Here is a 17,804-nt window from a genome sequence, read left to right on the forward strand (position 1 = left end):
GATTTTAGAAGAGACTAGAGGCAGGGAGAGGTGGGTGGCAGCGGCGGCAACTCCCTCAGTTTGGAAAGGGAGCCCCCAGTCGAGTGTGGTGTGCCCTCCCTCTCTCGCTCTCTCCCTCTTCCTCCCTCTTCCCCTCCCTTCCCGTCTGGGTTCCCTCTTCCCTCCTCCCTCCCTCCTTCCCTCCCTCTCTGTCTTCTTGTTAACACACTGAAAACCCCACCCTGGAAGGCTGCAGAGAACATCCCCCTCCCCCACCCCATGGCTGCTGTTGAGCCAGGGGATAGGGTAAGGCCTGGATTCTGCTGACGGTTCTCCCAGAGGTAGTCGGGGAGGGTGGCCTGCAAGCCCACTGGGCCCCACAGTTGTCTGCAGTCAGGCCTGTGATCAGTCGAATTAGAAACGATCAGAGGTGTCTGGATAGAGACTGGGGATGGCGTTCTTTTCCCCGGGTCCCAGGTATGGGGGCACCAGCCCTTACCTTCCTCCCTTCACAGGCTCCGGAAGATGTGCTTGGGTTTTGGAAAGAGCTCAGACTCACAATGCCAGTCCTGTTAAAAGCAAGGTCTTCCCATCTTGGCCAGGAAAGCCTCTCTCTTCCCACAAGGAGCGCAGGCCTGCCCCTCCCACCTGCCTTAGGTGACCTGGCACAGGCGTCTGGGTCTTACAATGGCAGCTCCTTGTAGTCCTTGAGCCGTGGATGCATCCGACAGCCCACAGGAGCCTGATACATGGTGAACTCTGGCCTTACACTCCACACTGGCCCCTTTGTGCCTGAGGCTGCTGTGGGAGCTGTGGTCCTGCCGCCACGTTGGTTGGCATAGTCAGTACTCATGCTCAGAAGTTTCCAGAGCTTCCTGCTGGTTTGGTTATATAGGGAGACAGATGATGGTTAAGGAAGAGGAACTCCTGGGTGTCCTGCCTTGTGCTTCTAGGGTGAGAGATGCAGGAGGGTCAGTGTCACCCCCTCCCCAAACTGCCCTTCTTAGCACAGCCCAAAAGTCTTCCACGAGGCAGATGCTGTTGGTTCCTGGTTCACGGGCCCTCCCGGCTTCTTTTCCCTGCGTGGAAGCTGGGACCCACACCAGCTACAGGCACTGGTGGGATCTTCACCACTGTCTGTGGCTTGGGCCACAGATTCCTTTCTGCCTGTCAGTCCTGGCTCCGTTTGCTGGGGCACGAAGGTCACAGCTGGCAGGGAATGCAGAGACTGTTACCCTCGAGGGCCATAGGCCTTATGGCATTAGTGATGGCCACAGAGAATGCCAACTTCTGTGCTTTGGACTTGGGACCTCTTTAGAGAGGGGTGCCGTGTTCAGGGCACCTCAGAGCGTCTCGTGTCCAAGCTCCTGGAAACCTGGTGGCAGCTAGTGGAATGCCTGCCGTGGGGAGCGGTCTGGGAGACTCTGGCGCTAGAAGTCTTGCTCTTATGTATACACAGTCTTTAATTGAACACTCGTAAAACTGTAATGAGCCATTTATTTATTTGAATGGGGCGAGTTATTAATTTTCAGCAAACTGCAGGCAGCCATTCTGAGGTGAATCGTCTGGAGACATTCTGCTCCCCAGGGTGAAGGTCTGCGACAGGCTCTGAGATCTGAGCCCATCGCCTGATGTGGCCTTGCCTTTTTATTTCCCCTCAGCTGCCCCACCCCAGGATGCACAGGCTCAGGGCACGTCCGGGGCAAGTACTCCAGGCACCGAAGGTAAGAGGACCCTTGGATCTCACGGAGATTCCTGGGCGGTAGATTTGGAGCCCCTGCCCACTCTGCAGATGGAGAACTTTCCATCTTTTTCCATGGCTCCCAAGGCCAGGCTGCTGACCCTTCTGCGAGGCAGCGACCTCCCACTCTAGCGTGGAGATCTGTGTGGCCATGGGCGTGCCATGTGGGGGAAGACAGACCATCTGACCTCCCGCGAGGCAGCGACTTCCCACTCTAGCATGGAGGTCCGTGTGGCCATGGGCGTGCCATGTGGGCGAAGACAGACCATCTGACCCCCTAGTGCTGCACTTTGCTTTTTTTGTCCGGGTTCCCTGCAAGGACTGGATGAGTCTGTGGGGAAGGGAGGGAGGGAGGACCCTCGGGAGGGGCTCATGGGGTGTCTGAGGCCTCTCGTGGCCCTAGCCTGGTCCTCTCCACTGCCTACTCCTCCCTCCCAGTTTACAGAGCTGCCCCCTGGCCAAGAAGAGGAAGCTGGAGGGCGCTGAGGCTGAGCACCTGGTGTCCAAGAGGAAGTCACACCCCCTGAAGCTGGCTCTGGACGAGGGCTATGGTGTGGACAGCGACGGCAGTGAGGACACTGAGGTGAAGGACGCCTCTGTTTCGGATGAATCGGAAGGAACTCTGGAGGGGGCCGAGGCTGAGACGTCAGGACAGGACGAGATTCATCGCCCCGAGACAGCTGAAGGTGCTTTGTCGCTCTTTCTTCCCCGAATAAAGGGCGCTTAGTGTGGCCCTGGAGAATTGCAGCCTGTGAGCGGGGAGGGGCTCACTCCGGGCAAGAGAAAGCCCTTCCTGAGAACAAGGCATGTCTTGTCCCAACATGTGCTGGGCTTCCTGGGAGAGAGGTCTGCCCATGGTGTTTATGGGGCCTGTGGTGTGTTTGTGTGTGAACACTGTGTGCGTAGGAGAGAGGCAGGACAGACAGAGACACGGGGCTGGTGTGTGTGTGTGCAGTTGTAGTGTGTTTTGGCAGGTGTGTCTGCATGTATATGAGAGAGACAGACAAGGCTGTGTCTCTGTGTGTCTGTAAGTGGGGAAGGGAGGATCTTAGACTGGCCCTCTGTTCTGCCTGGCCCTCTGGGAGACCTGCCTGGGGGCATGGGTGAGAGGTCTGCGTTCCCCTGAGGTACTCACAGGCAGATGCTGAGGAAACACCTCAGGTTGAGCTTCAGGTGATTGAGGACCAGATGGAGCCTCTGAAGACGGGGTGCCCGGGGAGGCCAAGAGGGGAAGGAGGAAAGCAGACGAGTCCCCCACTTCCTTGTGGGGTCTACCAGGACTGCCATGTTGGAGCTCCTAGCCCTTGGCAAAAGTGCATGAAGCAGGTGCTTTGGCCCCTGGGTCCCGGAGGGAGGGGTCTGTGCCCCTGAGAGCCCTGGCAGATCTGTAGAGACCTGGGGTCAGATGAGGCCCAAGGTCCACTCCCCCCACCATCCCCACCACTCACCCAGCACTCCCCAAGCTTCTGCAGTGGGGAAGGGTCTGAGATGGATTTCAGAAGCAAAGCCAGAGAGGGTCCTCAACCCCAGCTCCCTTGGGGGGCTCTGGAGTGAGTGCGCTGTCCCGTGGAATCAACATAGTCCTAGATCCCAGGTAGAAAAGACACACATTTTCCTGCTTTCTTATCAAGAAGGGCGTCTGGGGTTCAGCTGTCAACCTGGGCTTGGACTTTCCCCTCCGAAGTAGGTGGATGGCAGGGCCCATTCCTACCACTGTGGGACGTGCTGGCCCAGGTGTCCTTGCTGACAACCCTACGGGGCCTGCATGTGGTGAGCACCTACCATATCTTAGTTTCGTTTTGTTTTTGTTTTGAGAGAGTCTCACTCTGTTGCCCAGGCTGGAGTGCAGGGGCACGATCTTGATTTACTGCAATCTCCTCCTCCTTGGTTCAAGGAATAGCTGGGACTACAGGTGTGCACCACCACGCCCAGCTCATTTTTGTATTTTTAGTAGAGACAGGGTTTCGCCATGTTGACCAGGCTGGTCTTGAACTCGTGACCTCAGGTGATCCGCCCGCCTCGGCCTCCCAAAGTCCTGGGATTACAGGCATGAGCCACCGAGCCCATTCTTATTTACTGATTTTCAATTATGAAACAATTATTATTATTTTTTTAAAATCTGACTTGCTGCTTAAGCTCCATTGTATACAATGCAGGTTTATCTGATTTGGGAAAGTAAACGTGATGGGAGAGGAACATTAAGAAAAAGTATCAAAGTAATTCTTAGTTTAAAAAATACATCAGTGGCCCATGACCTGCCTCCTAAAATATATTCACCGTGATTTCTGGATTCAGGCAGAAGGGTTGACAGAAAGGTCCATACCAAATCCCCACTTCTGGAGTTTCATGTTTCCCCTTGGCTCCCGTATAAAGAGTGAGTGGTAGGTCAGGTGGAGGGGTGGTGGGTGTGTTGGGGACTGGAGACCTGGAGTCTTCCCACGTGCTCTCTGGCCCCCACGTTGATTTTGATTTTGTGCAGGAAGGAGCCCCGTCAAGTCCCATTTTGGATCCAACCCCATCGGCAGCGCCACTGCCTCCTCCAAGGGCAGCTACAGCAGCTACCAGGGAATCATCGCAACTTCTCTCCTGAACTTGGGTCAAATTGCTGAAGAGACCCTGGTGGAAGAGGACTTGGGCCAGGCGGCCAAGCCAGGTCCTGGCATTGTGCACCTGCTTCAGGAGGCTGCAGAGGGAGCTGCCAGCGAGGAGGGTGAAAAGGGCCTCTTCATCCAGCCAGAGGATGCCGAGGAGGTCGTCGAAGTCACCACCGAGCGCTCCCAGGACCTGTGTCCCCAGTCCCTGGAGGATGCAGCCAGTGAGGAGTCCAGCAAGCAGAAAGGCATCCTGAGTCACGAAGAGGAGGACGAGGAGGAGGAGGAGGAGGAAGAGGAGGAGGAGGAGGATGAAGAAGAGGAAGAGGAAGAGGAGGAGGAAGAGGAAGAGGAGGAGGAGGAAGAGGAAGAGGAGGAGGAAGAGGAAGAGGAAGAGGAGGAGGAGGAGGCAGCTCCTGATGTGATCTTTCAGGAAGACACCTCTCACACCTCTGCCCAGAAGGCCCCTGAGCTCCGGGGCCCAGAATCACCCAGTCCCAAGCCTGAGTACTCTGTTATTGTGGAGGTCCGCTCGGATGATGACAAGGACGAGGACACCCACTCCCGGAAGTCAACAGTCACTGACGAGTCGGAGATGCAGGACATGATGACCCGGGGAAACCTGGGCCTCCTGGAGCAGGCCATCGCCCTGAAGGCTGAACAGGTGCGCACAGTCTGCGAGCCGGGCTGCCCGCCTGCCGAGCAGAGCCAGCTGGGCCTGGGAGAGCCAGGGAAGGCAGCAAAGCCCCTGGACACTGTGCGGAAGAGTTACTACAGTAAAGGTAGGGCTCAGGGGTGGCCTGGCCCTGCAGACTCATCCTTTCACCCCTGCCCCAGGTGTGCAGATGCAGGCTGAGAGCCCTTCTAGGACAGGGGGCTGGGGGATGGCAGAAAAGCAGACAAAAGGACAAATACATGACACAGACTGTGGTCAGATACTGAGCAAATGGGTTCCCACACTGCTTTACATAGAGCGATCTGGAGCGAGACACAGCGGAGACGTGTGAGAAAGAACCAGGTGGGAGAGAGGAGGTGGGAGGGACAGTGACCCACCCACAGTGACTGGTCACAGCAGCATCTGGGGTCTGGAGAGGGTGGGGACCGTCCTGTCCCTTCCACCCCAACTCACACTCGTGGCAGGGATTGTGCTATGACAGAACCCGCTGTTTCCTACAGCCATGCTGGGTCATCCTGATCCTCTCGTGGGGTGGAGACCAGCAGGCAGATGTGAGGGGTGCCCTTGCTCCTCAGAGGGAGCAGCCTGCCGCTGGCTCTGCATCTGTCTCTGGATTTGGCTCTAAAGTGTGCAGGGTACAGGGGAGCCATCCCCTGATCGCACGGAGTGGCTGATGTTGAGGTGAGGATAGACAAGGAGGGCTGCTTGGAGGGGCCTGGGGCTGGGCTGACGTGGTTGGGGAGCAGCTGGGAAGCAGCTGATGTGGTTGGGGAGCAGCTGGGAGCCTGGAGTGCTGAGGTCTGAGGACGAATCCTGAGTAAACGGTTACGGCCTTCATTGTTACTGGGGTGTCAGGGTCTGGACAACAGGCTGGCTCTGCTCTGCTGACTGCCCATCTCAGATTCCTCCTGGGACAGGGGTCTGGGGAGCAGGGCTGGCCAGGGGCTGCTCCCTCAGTGAGCCATGCCAGGGAGGCCAGGCCTTGGACAGGTCAGCTTTGACCCAGCCGGCCTGGTGCGGAGGGCCTCCTGCACCTGGGCACTTGGCCTCTATTCTCCTAAGACTAGGGACCTGCCCTGATCTCGGCCTCTTTTTTCCCCATGTCTAGTCCTGCATCTCTTCTCCAGGTGGACGGGGGCAGTGGGAGTTCTTGGTGCTCTTCCAATGAGTGCCCCCAGGAAGAGTTAGCTGAGACCAGGGAGGGAGCAGATAAGGAGAGAGAACTGGGATGGGAGATGACTCAGGTGCTGGAGCCACGAACCAAAAATGCAGGAGACACGGAATTGCCAACCCTGGGAAGATGCACTTGGGTCATGGGAGAGACAGACCTGAGTGAGACATAATTCAAGGGGCATGATAGGCAGGTCAGTGGAGACACGAGGGACATGTTTTCCGGGAACACCAGGCATATGAGACAAGCTCAGGGGAAAGATGCTAAGGGGACACAGGTGGGGACATGGTTTCAGGGTGAGATGGACCCAAAGAATGGCTTTGCGGGGACACCCTTTAGGGCAACCCAGATGGCGGGACAGCTCTTTGGGGACCCAGATTTAGGTCGGCAGTGTCATGCTCCGGCCTTGTGGGGCCATGGGCACAAAGAGACACAGGCTGAAGGTGAGACTTAGGGACAGGTGTCAAGGGCCCGGGGTGGTTACTAGCCTGGCTGTGGTGTGCTTGGGCCGCACAGATCAGCGCAGAATTTGGTGGGACACATATGAGGAACACAGACACCAAGTGACAGCCCTAGGCCCAGGTTTTTGAGGGTCTCAGACCTGTGGGACAGACATAGGAGGACCCAGATGCAAGGCATCCTGCCTTCAGGGATAGATTTTCAGTGCATGGACCCAAAGGGACACGGCCCCGGGTGACACAGGTGGCCAAGCTGAGAACACCAGGCAGTGCCCAGCTGGGCTGTGAGTGTCTGTGCAACGTGAACGTGCGGTTCTGGTTCTGAGGGACTGATGTTGGGGCACAGATGCTGCGAGAATTCTGGACAGAGGCCGTGGGACAGGGGTGGCAAGCCCAGGAGGCCGGTGTTGGGCACGGGTTTGGAAGCCCCTCAGGACACCCCTGCCTGTCCACATGGGTGGAAGTCTGACTCCTTTGAACTTGGGGCAGCAGAGCAAGAGCTCCTTCCCTTTGGAGCCCCCTCCTGGGACCCTCCTGCTCTGAGGTGGGAGTTCTGAGTTTGGCTCTGTGACCTCTGCACCCTCCCAAAGGGGACAGCTCTCGTCCAAAGGTGTTTCACTGAGATGTCAGCTCTGCTCTGAGGGTCCTCCGTGTTCCTGCTGGTCCCTATACTCTATAGTGACCGGCCTGGACCTGCAGAGGCTAGAAGAGGTCGATAACTGAGATTTGGGTTTACATTTCTGCCCAGGCATAGATTAGTCATGCAGCCTTGGATAAGTTACTCAACTCCTTTGTCTTCCTCGTTTTGTCAAATCCCAAGGATATCTCCTGGCAGGAATATTGCCAAACGCCTTGACCTCTCTAGGCAGAAGGCTGACCCATGAGGCCTCCACACTGTCAGAGGAGAGAGGAAAGAGGACTCCAGCGGCCGTCTGGGTTGTTCTCCTTAAAACGCTGCACAAACTGCTATTTGGGATTGTCAGGGCAGCCTCAGGGCTTCCGCACAGGCAGCCAGTGTGGGCTGGTTTCTTCAGGGTCTCCTGACTGTCCAGCCCCAGTCCCTGTTCAAGCTCATGGGCAGTCTCGCCTCCCTTCTCTCTGGACAGCCAGAGAGAGGGTTCCTGAGCTACCCCTGCCCCCTCTCTGCTCACCACCCAGCTTCCTGGCTCTAACTGATGTGACTTGTGTGTTTTAGATCCTTCAAGAGCTGAGAAGCGTGAGATCAAGTGTCCAACACCAGGCTGTGATGGCACTGGCCACGTTACCGGGTTGTACCCTCACCACCGCAGCCTTTCTGGCTGTCCCCACAAGGATAGGATCCCCCCAGAGAGTGAGTAGCTCTGTGCAGCGTTAGCCCTAACTGTGAAGCTCACGCTGCCTCTGTGGTGTTTGGGTGGTGTCTATGGGGAGGCGTGGCCTGCCCAGGGCCATAACCTTCCCCTTTGGTTTGTCCAGATGCTCATCCTTACATCTCCCCGCTTTCCCCCACAAACTCCCTCAGCCCAAACTTGAGCCCTTTGAGGCTGGGGCCCTGCAACCAGCCCATTTGTCTACCTAGAGACGCCAGTCCGGGTCAGAGCCCACAGTAACAGATCGATGGGAGGGGGACAGGCTAGTGCCATCCAAGCTGGGAAGGGAGAGGTCTTCTTGCAGCAACCTCTGTGCCCTGAAAGCTTAGGAAGCAAATACTTGTTCTTATGTTTAGGCTAGAAGCAGTAATTGTGAAAATTAAATTTAAAGGAGCAAACCACAGAATGAGAGGTTTTAAAGCTGAGTCTGGTTTCTGCCGCAGGAGGGAGGGACCACAGTGGTGGTGGCGGTGGGGGGCATGCCCTGACCAGGCTGAGGGTGGGGAGTTGTGTCTGCAGGCTCTTGGGGGCTGGAGCTGCCCTGCGTTGCTGTGTCCCCCACCTGCCTACCAAGCAGCAGCCTTTGGACAAGGCTCCTGCACCCTCCTCAGCCTGTGCTCCCCACACAGCTGGCGCTCCCCAGATTCTCTGACAGCCTCGGCTCCCTCCACCCCCTGTTCTCTTACAGTCTTAGCCATGCATGAGAACGTGCTGAAGTGCCCCACTCCTGGCTGCACAGGCCAGGGTCACGTGAACAGCAACCGCAACACGCACAGAAGGTACTTGGACTGAGCTGGGCCGTAGTGGGGGCCAGGGTGGGGGCCGTGGTGGGGGCCAGGGTGGGGGCCGTGGTGGGGGCCAGGGTGGGGGCCGTGGTGGGGGCCAGGGTGGGGGCCGTGGTGGGGGGCTCCACGTGGGGTAGGGCACCTGGGTTGGGCCTGTGTGTCCCTGCCTGGGCCGTGAGCCCGTGACCTGGGACGGGGCTCTGGCCTGCCTGGGGCTCCCTGTGTGCTACCCTTCTCCCAGCCTGCCGCCCTGAGGAGTGGGTACAAGGTCAGGGCACACCTGGGCGGTGAGGGGCCTTTGTGAGGGCAGAGTGGCAACTGGAGGTGCAGTCACCCAGTGGTGTTGCTGCCTTAACCCTACGAGCTCCCGAGAGAGCAGGGGGCGGCCTGCAGAGGAGGGAGCAATGCACCCTCTGTGAAGAGAGGTACAACAACCATGTGAGAGCCAGGTGAATACTTTGTGTCCTACCCACATTCAGAAAACCTCTGCACACTGGCTCTTGCTCCTGAGTGGGAAGGGCAGACATGAACAGTAACCTCGGCAGGCCAGGACTGTGCTCTGGGCTGCTTTGTGGGAGTTCTGAGGCCCAGGTGGAAGTGAAGCTTCCCGACCACCCTCGAGGTGTAGTTGTTGACTGGTCTTCTATGGTGAGGGGGGACTACTCCTCCAGCCTTACCCTAAGTGCCATGGGTGGCCGTGGCCTCGGTGGGATATGCTTTCCCCCAGCAGGCTTATGCTCAGCTGAAAGGACTGCCAGAGCTTTTGAGGTCACTTCATTTGAAAAGAGGCCAGTTCCCCATTACGTCACCTCCCTGGGCTGGCTGAGGGACTGGCGCTGGAGCTCACAGTTAACTTTATTCTGACAGATGAAGCTGCTGCCTCCGTGTCTTAGACTGAGTACTTTCCTGGGCCTGTGTCATCCAGGGTCAGTGCCCAGGCTGTGGTCCAAGTGGGGCCCTGGGCTGCCCCAGAGCAGCTAACAGAACAAGCGCCAGAGAGGGCTGCAGAATCCAGCCCTGCAAGCTGGGAAGGGAGAGGAAGGGGGTGAGGGCAAGCCTGTCTCCCAGACCCATGCAGAGGAGGCATCTTTGCCCAGAGCTTTCAAGGCCTTTAGGATATATTTCATCTTTGTGTGTCCTTGGCATAGAATGTTCCAAAACAGAAACTGACTGGGCAGCTTGTACTGTGAGGGCTCAAGAACAGAGCCAGAGAGAAAACCCCTGTCCTGCAGAATGACAGGGTTATTCCCGGCTCTGGGCTTCTCTGGAGTTCACCTGGAGTTCTCACATCTGAATGACCTTGCCGTGAGACACCCACACACACAGACACCCAGGACAGGACAGGCATGGAGGGGAAGGCTCAGAAACCCCTCCTCTTCCTTCCTCTAGTTTGTCTGGGTGTCCCATTGCTGCCGCCGAAAAATTAGCCAAATCCCATGAGAAGCAGCAGCCGCAGACAGGAGATCCTTCCAAGAGTAGCTCCAATTCCGATCGGATCCTCAGGTGAGTGAGATGAGCCACAGAACTGAAGAGGCTGCCTCCCAAATGCCTGCAGAGGGCTTCTCAGTCTCCCGCAGGCTGTATGTGCATGTGTGTGAGTGCATGTGTGTGAGTGTACGTGCATGTGAGTGTACGTGCATGTGAGTGTGCACATGCCCCGGGCCCCCCAGGAGCAGAACTGCGGGGCAGTTTTGGAGCCACACAGGACAGAGTCTCATGTCTACCACATTCGCCAGTGCCTCAGCCAAAGCGCAAACTCCTGCACAGTTGCCTCTGCCTCCGACATGGGGCTCTGCCTCCTTGGAGTCGTCTGATGTGACCACTTGAGGCCCCTTGGGGATTCATTTGTGGAGATGCTGGTCCTGTCTGGAAAGAGCAGACTGCACCAGCCAAGGACCACGGACGTCCAGGAAGCACCATGAGCCACTAATCCTTGGCCGTCCTGCCTGTCCCTCCCCGACCCCAGGGATAGACCCCAAGTCAAGGAAGAGGGTGGGTGCAGGCTTTGCTCCCCAGAGTGCTTTGTGGCCCCTGAGGTTCTGAGATCACAGTAGGTGTGTGTGAACATGTGGGAGCGTGTGTGTGCATGTTCACACGCCTGTTTGTGTTTGCATATGTGCGGGTATGTTTACATGTGCGTGCAAGTCCATGTGTATGTGAACACGTGGGAGCGTGTGTGTGCATGTTCACACGCCTGTTTGTGTTCGCATATGTGCGAGTATGTTTACATGTGCGTGCAAGTCCATGTGTGTGTGCATGTGTAAATTTGGCTCTAATCAATAAGGATCTTTCAGAATGTGTCCCATTAGTGTCCCCTCCTTCCATGTGGCTCTAAGAAGTAAGTGCCACAAATAAGGCCAGAGGCTCAGAGAGTTGCCCAAGGCCACCCTGCCCATCCTGCCTGGCTTCAAAGTCTCTCCTCTATGGAGCTGAGTCCTTGGACCACGGTACCCACTGTCGAAGAGGACACTTCCACTGCTCCTGTCTTCACCTGCAGACACCCTGCTCCCCACTCCCGTGAGGAACTAGAACTCACACACAGCTCCTCCTCCCCAGCTCTCAGACCCCTGTTCCATATCTGTCTCACCAGACAAGAGTGTAGGAGACCCCGGCTGGGGTGAGCGTGAATGACTGCATAGCCCCTTCCACTGTCCGCCTCCTTTCGGGGCCCACCTGACCCCGGCCCTTCCTGGCACATAATTGGCAAAGTTCCAGCCAGATGATCTTCGCTGCTCACCTTGGCTGTGTCATGCCCAGGCCCTTCCCTGGTCTGCTCCAGAGTGTTCCTCTGAAGGTGCAATTCCCACACGTGGGATCTCTGGGCAGAGCACAGAGACTTGCCTTCCTGCTCTGTGGGCATGCTTGCCATCCCACACACAGGCACCTTCAGCCCTGCAGGTCCCAGCAGGCTGCTTTCCACCAGCTGGCTCTCACAATGGTTTGAAGCTGCTTTTTTCCTCTATCTTATTTGCTGTTCCCTCCAGCTTCCTGTCAGTTGCTAATTCAATCCTTTCCCTCTTTGATCTAAATCACCGATAAAATGTCAAACCGCAGATTTGGCCCCCGTGTGAGGCCAGGCAGGGGTGTCAAACAGGCTCCAACTTTGGAGACTGCACTCCCTGGGACTATGACCTCAGTTTGTTCACTTATAAAAGTAGGACAACAAACTAAGTCGCTCATGAGGCTCAAGTGACACTCTGCCGCCCTCAGCCCATGGTGAATACTCACTGAACGCTAGAGAGATTGTGGCTAGGGTGGAGGAGGCCTCCCGTTAGGCCCTTTTGATTCTATCCAGCCCACATTTCTGGCTATCGAACTTTGGGGTGTGAGGACGGGCTTTGCAAAGCTTCGTTGGCATTGTGGACAATAAGTGTACAGATTCTGACTGAAGCCTTGGTCAAGGAAGCCATCAACGGTGGTACCAATGTTAAGCTTATTATTATTATTATTATTTTTAGTGACAGAGTGTCACTCTGTTGCTCAGGCTGGAGTGCAGTGGTTTCAATCATAACTCACTATAACCTCAAACTCCTGGTCTCAAGTGATCCTCCCACCTCAGCCTCCCGAGTACCTAGGAATACAGATGTGCCATCATACCTGCCTATTTTTTTTGCGTTTTTTTTTTTTTCTTTTTTTTGTAGAGAGGGTCTCACTAGGTTGCCCAAGCCGGTTTCTTACTCCTGGCTTCAACAGACCTGCCTTGGCCTCCAAAAGTGCTTGGATTATAGACATAAGCCACCATACCTGACCCAATGTTAAGTTTAAAGTTAGTTTTTTCCCTCCTGGCCTCACTCTTGCAACTTTTCTATCTGCCACTGGGGTCAGGATCCATCCTGGGGCTCCCACCCTTCCTGGAGAAGGAGAAAACACCCACGTCCTGGTAGTGTTCAGTTCTTCCAGGCCCATCAGAGCTGGCCGTGGTTGCAGGGCTGGCCTGGTGGTCCTCTGTGCTGGGCTCTGTTCTTAGTCCACACTTAAGTTCTCGTAGCACCCAGCACCTTGGAGGCTGTCATTGTCAGCTCCTTCTTAATTCCACTGATTGTACACTTTCCAGACTGAAGTCATTGCTTGGTCCAGACAGGAACAAAGAAAGCCATGGCTGCTTGCCAGGATCTCCTCTTCTCTGAGCTGCCAGGTTCAGAAGCTCCTCTGTGCCTGTGTGGTCACCAGCATCTACCACCAGTCTTCCTGCCCCTGTGCCTTCTATGCCAGTTTCTTCGTGCCATCTTTTGTGCATGTAAAATCCTGAAGTATTCCAAGAGCATTAGTGGCAGTGAACTGAATGCTTGCAGTAGCTTTTTCGTGGCTGTTGCTGACCCTTCCAACAGTTCCTTGAGGGTCCACCTCAACACAGCTTTAAGAAGAGGGCAGCTGAGGGCTGAGTCCCTGGCTGAATGAAGAAGGGTCAGGCCTGGCCCTGAGGCCACTCCTCAGAAATGCACCTGATACAACTAGCGTCTCCTGTAGATTCCTCAGCTTCCTCCTTGCTGGGGAGTTCTAGGTTATGCTGCCTTGGAGTGTCTTGCTATTGTCCTGGGCTATGCTACTCTTTGGCCCTGCCTGATACTCACTCCAGTTGCAGCTGAGCTGTTTGAAACCTGCTCTCCTAAGTTCTGGGGAAAATCTTAGGCCCTCCTCTATCTGATGCTGTCAGCAGGACAGGCCATTGATTATTTGAGGGTCCTATTGCTTCCTCCCTGCAGGCCATTCTTCACCGGCCTGCTCTGGGAGCCCTTGACCCTGGGAGGTGGAACTCTGCCCAGCTTTAGTGGTGGAATATGCAGGGGTAGTGTCTTCCTGAGTCTCCTTCCTCACCAGACGCTGTGAGGCCCCTGCCTGGGCTGCAGATTGGGGTTGGGGAGGGTGGCACGGGATCCCCAGGTCCCATCTCACTGGCTGTGCATCCCTGTACTGCACCCCAGGCCCATGTGCTTCGTGAAGCAGCTCGAGGTCCCTCCATATGGGAGCTACCGGCCCAACGTGGCCCCCGCCACACCCAGGGCCAACTTGGCCAAGGAGCTGGAGAAGTTCTCCAAGGTCACCTTTGACTACGCAAGTTTCGATGCTCAGGTTTTTGGCAAACGCATGCTTGCCCCAAAGATTCAGACCAGCGAAACCTCACCTAAAGCCTTTCAATGTAAGTTGGGGAGAATTGTTCTTGTTTCTCTTCTGTGTTGCTCCTGGGAGGGGCAGGATTCAAGGGGCAGTGGAGGAGGGACCCTCTCGAGGAGCTACTAGGGAGGGAAACTCTACCCTCATGGGAGGACCACGATGCAGGCTGGAGGTCTCAGCTGTCCCAGTGGGCACTGTGGTGGCTTTCTTGGGGCCTGCATCTCACTCCTGCTGCCACCTTCATGTTCACCATTAACATTTATGTGTCTCCTAGTTATTTGTGAAACAAAACCCAGATCCGTTACGGGCGTGTGTGTCCAAAGACTTCAGAGCAACCCCACCAGCATGGTTCACACTGGGAGACGCCACTCTCCCCACTGTCCTCCTGCTACCTGTTTAATCCCAGTGCAGCCGGCTGTCCATTTCCCAGCCCTGCCTCTGGGGAGGGTCAGACTGTGGGCTGGGTGGGGCCAGATGACTGCGGGGCTGGGCCCAGTGCCCTGGCAGGAAGCCATTGCTCTCCTGGTGGGGACCATCTTACTGGATACAATGTGTTATCTGTGACATTAGTAACAAATTTTCTGGGTAATTGTACTGACAAAAATCATTCCTACAAATCTTTAAGAACAATCCTTTCTGTCTTGTCTTGTCACTTACTGCCCTAATTTGTGGAATAAGCCCATTAGCCCTGGAAGTGCATGCGAAATGGAAAAGCATTCAGTGTACACATGAGATTGGGAGTGGCATCGCGGGGCAGATGTTGTCAGCCCCAAACATGACGTGACGAGTTTCCTACATGAGAATAATAAAAGTACTGATTGATGCGGCTGCCAGTGGGGTGTGAGCCTCTCTTCCTAACTTTGACAGAACCTGCTCTTTAGGATGGAGGACTTCCTGCCTCCAGGCACACATGCCTACTTGGATGAGGGAATGCAATGGTGCCAGTGGAGAGGGGGACCTCACGATAAGCTTTCCAATATATCTAGACCTTTCTGGATATACTGGTGACATCGTGATTGCTGAGAACATCGTGCATGAGAGTGATTTTGCAGCTACAGTACAATTGCTAGAAAAGATAACATTCTGTGCCTTCATTTGTCATGTTCATTTGAGCAATAATGTTACTTTTTTAAGGCAGTGATGGTTACCGGGGACACCAAGTCAGCCTAAATATGGGTACACCCTTTTGAGATCATGGGACAAAATTTTCCTATTTGGGCGATATGGCAAACACTCATCCTATTCACAGAATGCTTCAGTTTCTGATAGACAAGTTATTTTTGTTTGAAATATCAGGGCTGCTGGAATGTCTTGGAGGCTTTTACTCCTTTTGCCCAAATTTTCACTGAGCCAGAAACAAGATTGTCTCCTCAGTCCCCTAGAGGAGGGTGGGTGGGAGTGAGGTGTGTGAGGACTTGGGACTGGGACGGGTGGCCAAGCCCCTGGCCCACTTCGATATAGCTGTGCCCTGGGCCCTCCCATCCCTCCCAAAGTGCCCCCTCCCCACTGACTTGTCTGCATTGCTGCCTCTTTTCAAGTTGTATATCAGCCTGGTGTTGTTCCCTTTTTGCAGCCAAACCTTTCCCAAAGGCCTCTTCCCCCAGGCACAGCCCCTCCAGTAGTTATGTGAGGAGCACTTCATCCTCTTCTGCAGGCTTTGACTACTCGCAGGACGCCGAGGCTGCACACATGGCTGCCACTGCCATCCTGAACCTCTCCACGCGCTGCTGGGAGATGCCTGAGAACCTCAGCACGAAGCCACAGGACCTCCCCAGCAAGGTTAGTACATCTGCCACAGAGCCTTTCTTGGGAGAGGTGAGTTGGTGGAATTTGCAGTCAGGCCCACCTGCTCTCTGCACAAAATGTCCCTAGGAATGGCTTGTGCCTAGCTGGCAATTCTCATTCTTAACTTTTTCTCCCTCCTGGCCATGGCCCCAAGGACCGCAGAGCTTGGATGGGTCCACCAGGAGAACCTGGTGTGCTGAGTGAAGGGGGACCAAGGGCTGCGAACACAAGTTCCCACGTGTTAGGTTGTGTGCACACCATGCGCCCGCGTGTCTCCCTCTGAGCCTGAGGGTGGTGCACACACATGCCCATGTGTTTCCTTCTGACTCCAGGGCGGTGCACGTGCCCTGTTCACACGTGTTTCCCGCAGTCTTGTGGTTGCTGACACACTCTCCTTGCTCAGAGGACCTAGTCTTACCCGTGTTTATGACATGTCCTGAGGGACTGGTTTTTGTGCTGTTGGGAGGCAAGAGGAATTGTAGGGCCCCCTTCATGGGAAATCAGGAAATGGCAGCTGGATTTTTTCCCTCTCGCTGCCTGTCTGTCCCCGTTGTCCTGCTTCCTTCTATGGGAACCAGTGTTCTGGACTCTGTACGTTTGATTCAAATGGACCAGAAGGCACACATGGGAAGGGATGGAATCGCTAACAGATCTCACCTTTGCCATTGCAGTCTGTGGATATCGAGGTAGACGAAAATGGAACCCTGGACTTGAGCATGCACAAACACCGCAAACGAGAAAATGCTTTCCCCAGCAGCAGCAGCTGCAGCAGCAGCCCCGGTGTGAAGTCTCCCGACGCCTCCCAGCGCCACAGCAGCACCAGCGCCCCCAGCAGCTCCATGACCTCTCCCCAGTCCAGCCAGGCCTCCCGCCAGGACGAGTGGGACCGGCCCCTGGACTACACCAAGCCTAGCCGCCTGAGAGAGGAGGAACCTGAGGAGGTGGGTGCAGGCGCCTGGGCAAGCAGTCAGGCGGCTGCAGCCAGCTTGCCCTGCCTGAGGCTGTTGTGATATTGGCTTTTCAAGGAAGCTTCTCCTCACAGGCTTCTGGAAGAGCCTCGGGGAGCCATCCCTTTTCGTGAAGGGTCCTTCATCTTCTGAGCAGCTGGGACTCAGGGGCTCACCCTCTGGGTGGGATTTTCAGCAGCAGGGTCATGCTGTGCCCTTGTCTGTCAAGAAGGAGGTGGTCTTCTCACCCCTGTGGAGCATGGTGGCCAGCACCAACGTGGGCACTGTGGAGGCATGGGGAGGAGAAAGGCATCGTTCAGATCCCAGGAGTTGATTGGGGAAAAGCTCAGGTTTCTTGGGTTTTGAGCCTCCCACCACCCTGCAGAGCTAACCTGCTGTCCGGGTAGGGGCAGAGCCAGTGAGAGAGCTTAGGACCTGGGCTTAGGATCGCCCATGGTGGGCAGTTCTACGTCCCCGAGACCAGGACCAACCTGGCATGGGTGCTGGAACTGTGGTCTGGGAAGCAGGGGATCCTTCCCTTTTTAGTTCCTTAAAACATGTGAAAGAAGAATCCTCCGAGGCCACAGCCGGTTCTGGGCTTTTTCCCAAGGAGGTGTGTGTCCTGAAGAGCAAAGTCCAGCTGTGAGGGCAGCCCAGGGTCCAGGCGGCAGCAGCCGCGTGTGTGAGACTAGCAGGCCCCTCTCCCTCTCCTTCCCCTCCCCCAAAGCCCCTCAGGAGGTGGAAGGGGTCCCTGTGGAAGGAGCAGGGCCAGACCCTCAAGGAGGAATGAGGGGGGTGGGGCTAGGCCCCTATGAAGGGTGGGGGCTGGATCAGGCCCCTATGAAGGGTAGGGGCTGGATCAGGCCCCTATGAAGGGTGGGGGCTGGATCAGGCCCCTATGAAGGGTGGGGGCTGGATCAGGCCCCTATGAAGGGTGGGGGCTGGATCAGGCCCCCTCCACAATCCGGCCTCAGTGGGAGGCAGACTTCCTTACCGGCCCTCACACCACCCTCAGGTCACCCCATTTCATAGACGAGCAGCCTGGGAACCCACAACGAGGTCCAATTATCCGAAGACTGTTATTATGCTGGGCTGTGGGCTTCACGGGCATTTCCTCATTTGACCCCCAAAAACCTTTGAGGGGCTGCTGTTATCTCAAGTTGGACAGAGTGGCACCTGGGCCCCAAGAGCCTGAGCCACTTGCCTGGGA

The 17,804-nt window shown here is 56.0% G+C and overlaps 1 protein-coding gene across 1 annotated transcript in view, besides 1 other annotated feature; it reads left to right on the forward strand.

The window, feature by feature from the left end:
* MYT1 (myelin transcription factor 1) overlaps positions 1-17,804 on the forward strand; it is a 77,802-nt gene that overhangs the window by 38,943 nt on the left and 21,055 nt on the right. Inside the window, exons 5-13 of the mRNA NM_004535.3 lie at positions 1,641-1,703; positions 2,159-2,406; positions 4,200-5,093; positions 7,812-7,946; positions 8,654-8,744; positions 10,140-10,253; positions 13,673-13,887; positions 15,517-15,641; positions 16,319-16,588. Of these exons, the coding sequence (NP_004526.1) occupies positions 1,641-1,703; positions 2,159-2,406; positions 4,200-5,093; positions 7,812-7,946; positions 8,654-8,744; positions 10,140-10,253; positions 13,673-13,887; positions 15,517-15,641; positions 16,319-16,588 (2,155 nt within the window). The remainder of the gene's footprint in view (positions 1-1,640; positions 1,704-2,158; positions 2,407-4,199; positions 5,094-7,811; positions 7,947-8,653; positions 8,745-10,139; positions 10,254-13,672; positions 13,888-15,516; positions 15,642-16,318; positions 16,589-17,804) is intronic.
* Positions 7,946-8,445: an enhancer, noted in NCBI's record as "H3K4me1 hESC enhancer chr20:62842693-62843192 (GRCh37/hg19 assembly coordinates)". NCBI's record gives its function as "activates a minimal SCP1, AML or CMV promoter by ChIP-STARR-seq in primed H9 embryonic stem cells {active_cell/tissue: H9 hESC(primed)}" and the evidence as "EXISTENCE:reporter gene assay evidence [ECO:0000049][PMID:30033119]".

The sequence above is a fragment of the Homo sapiens genome, chromosome 20 (genome assembly GCF_000001405.40).
Source record: "Homo sapiens chromosome 20, GRCh38.p14 Primary Assembly".
Taxonomy (NCBI): Eukaryota; Metazoa; Chordata; class Mammalia; order Primates; family Hominidae; genus Homo; species Homo sapiens.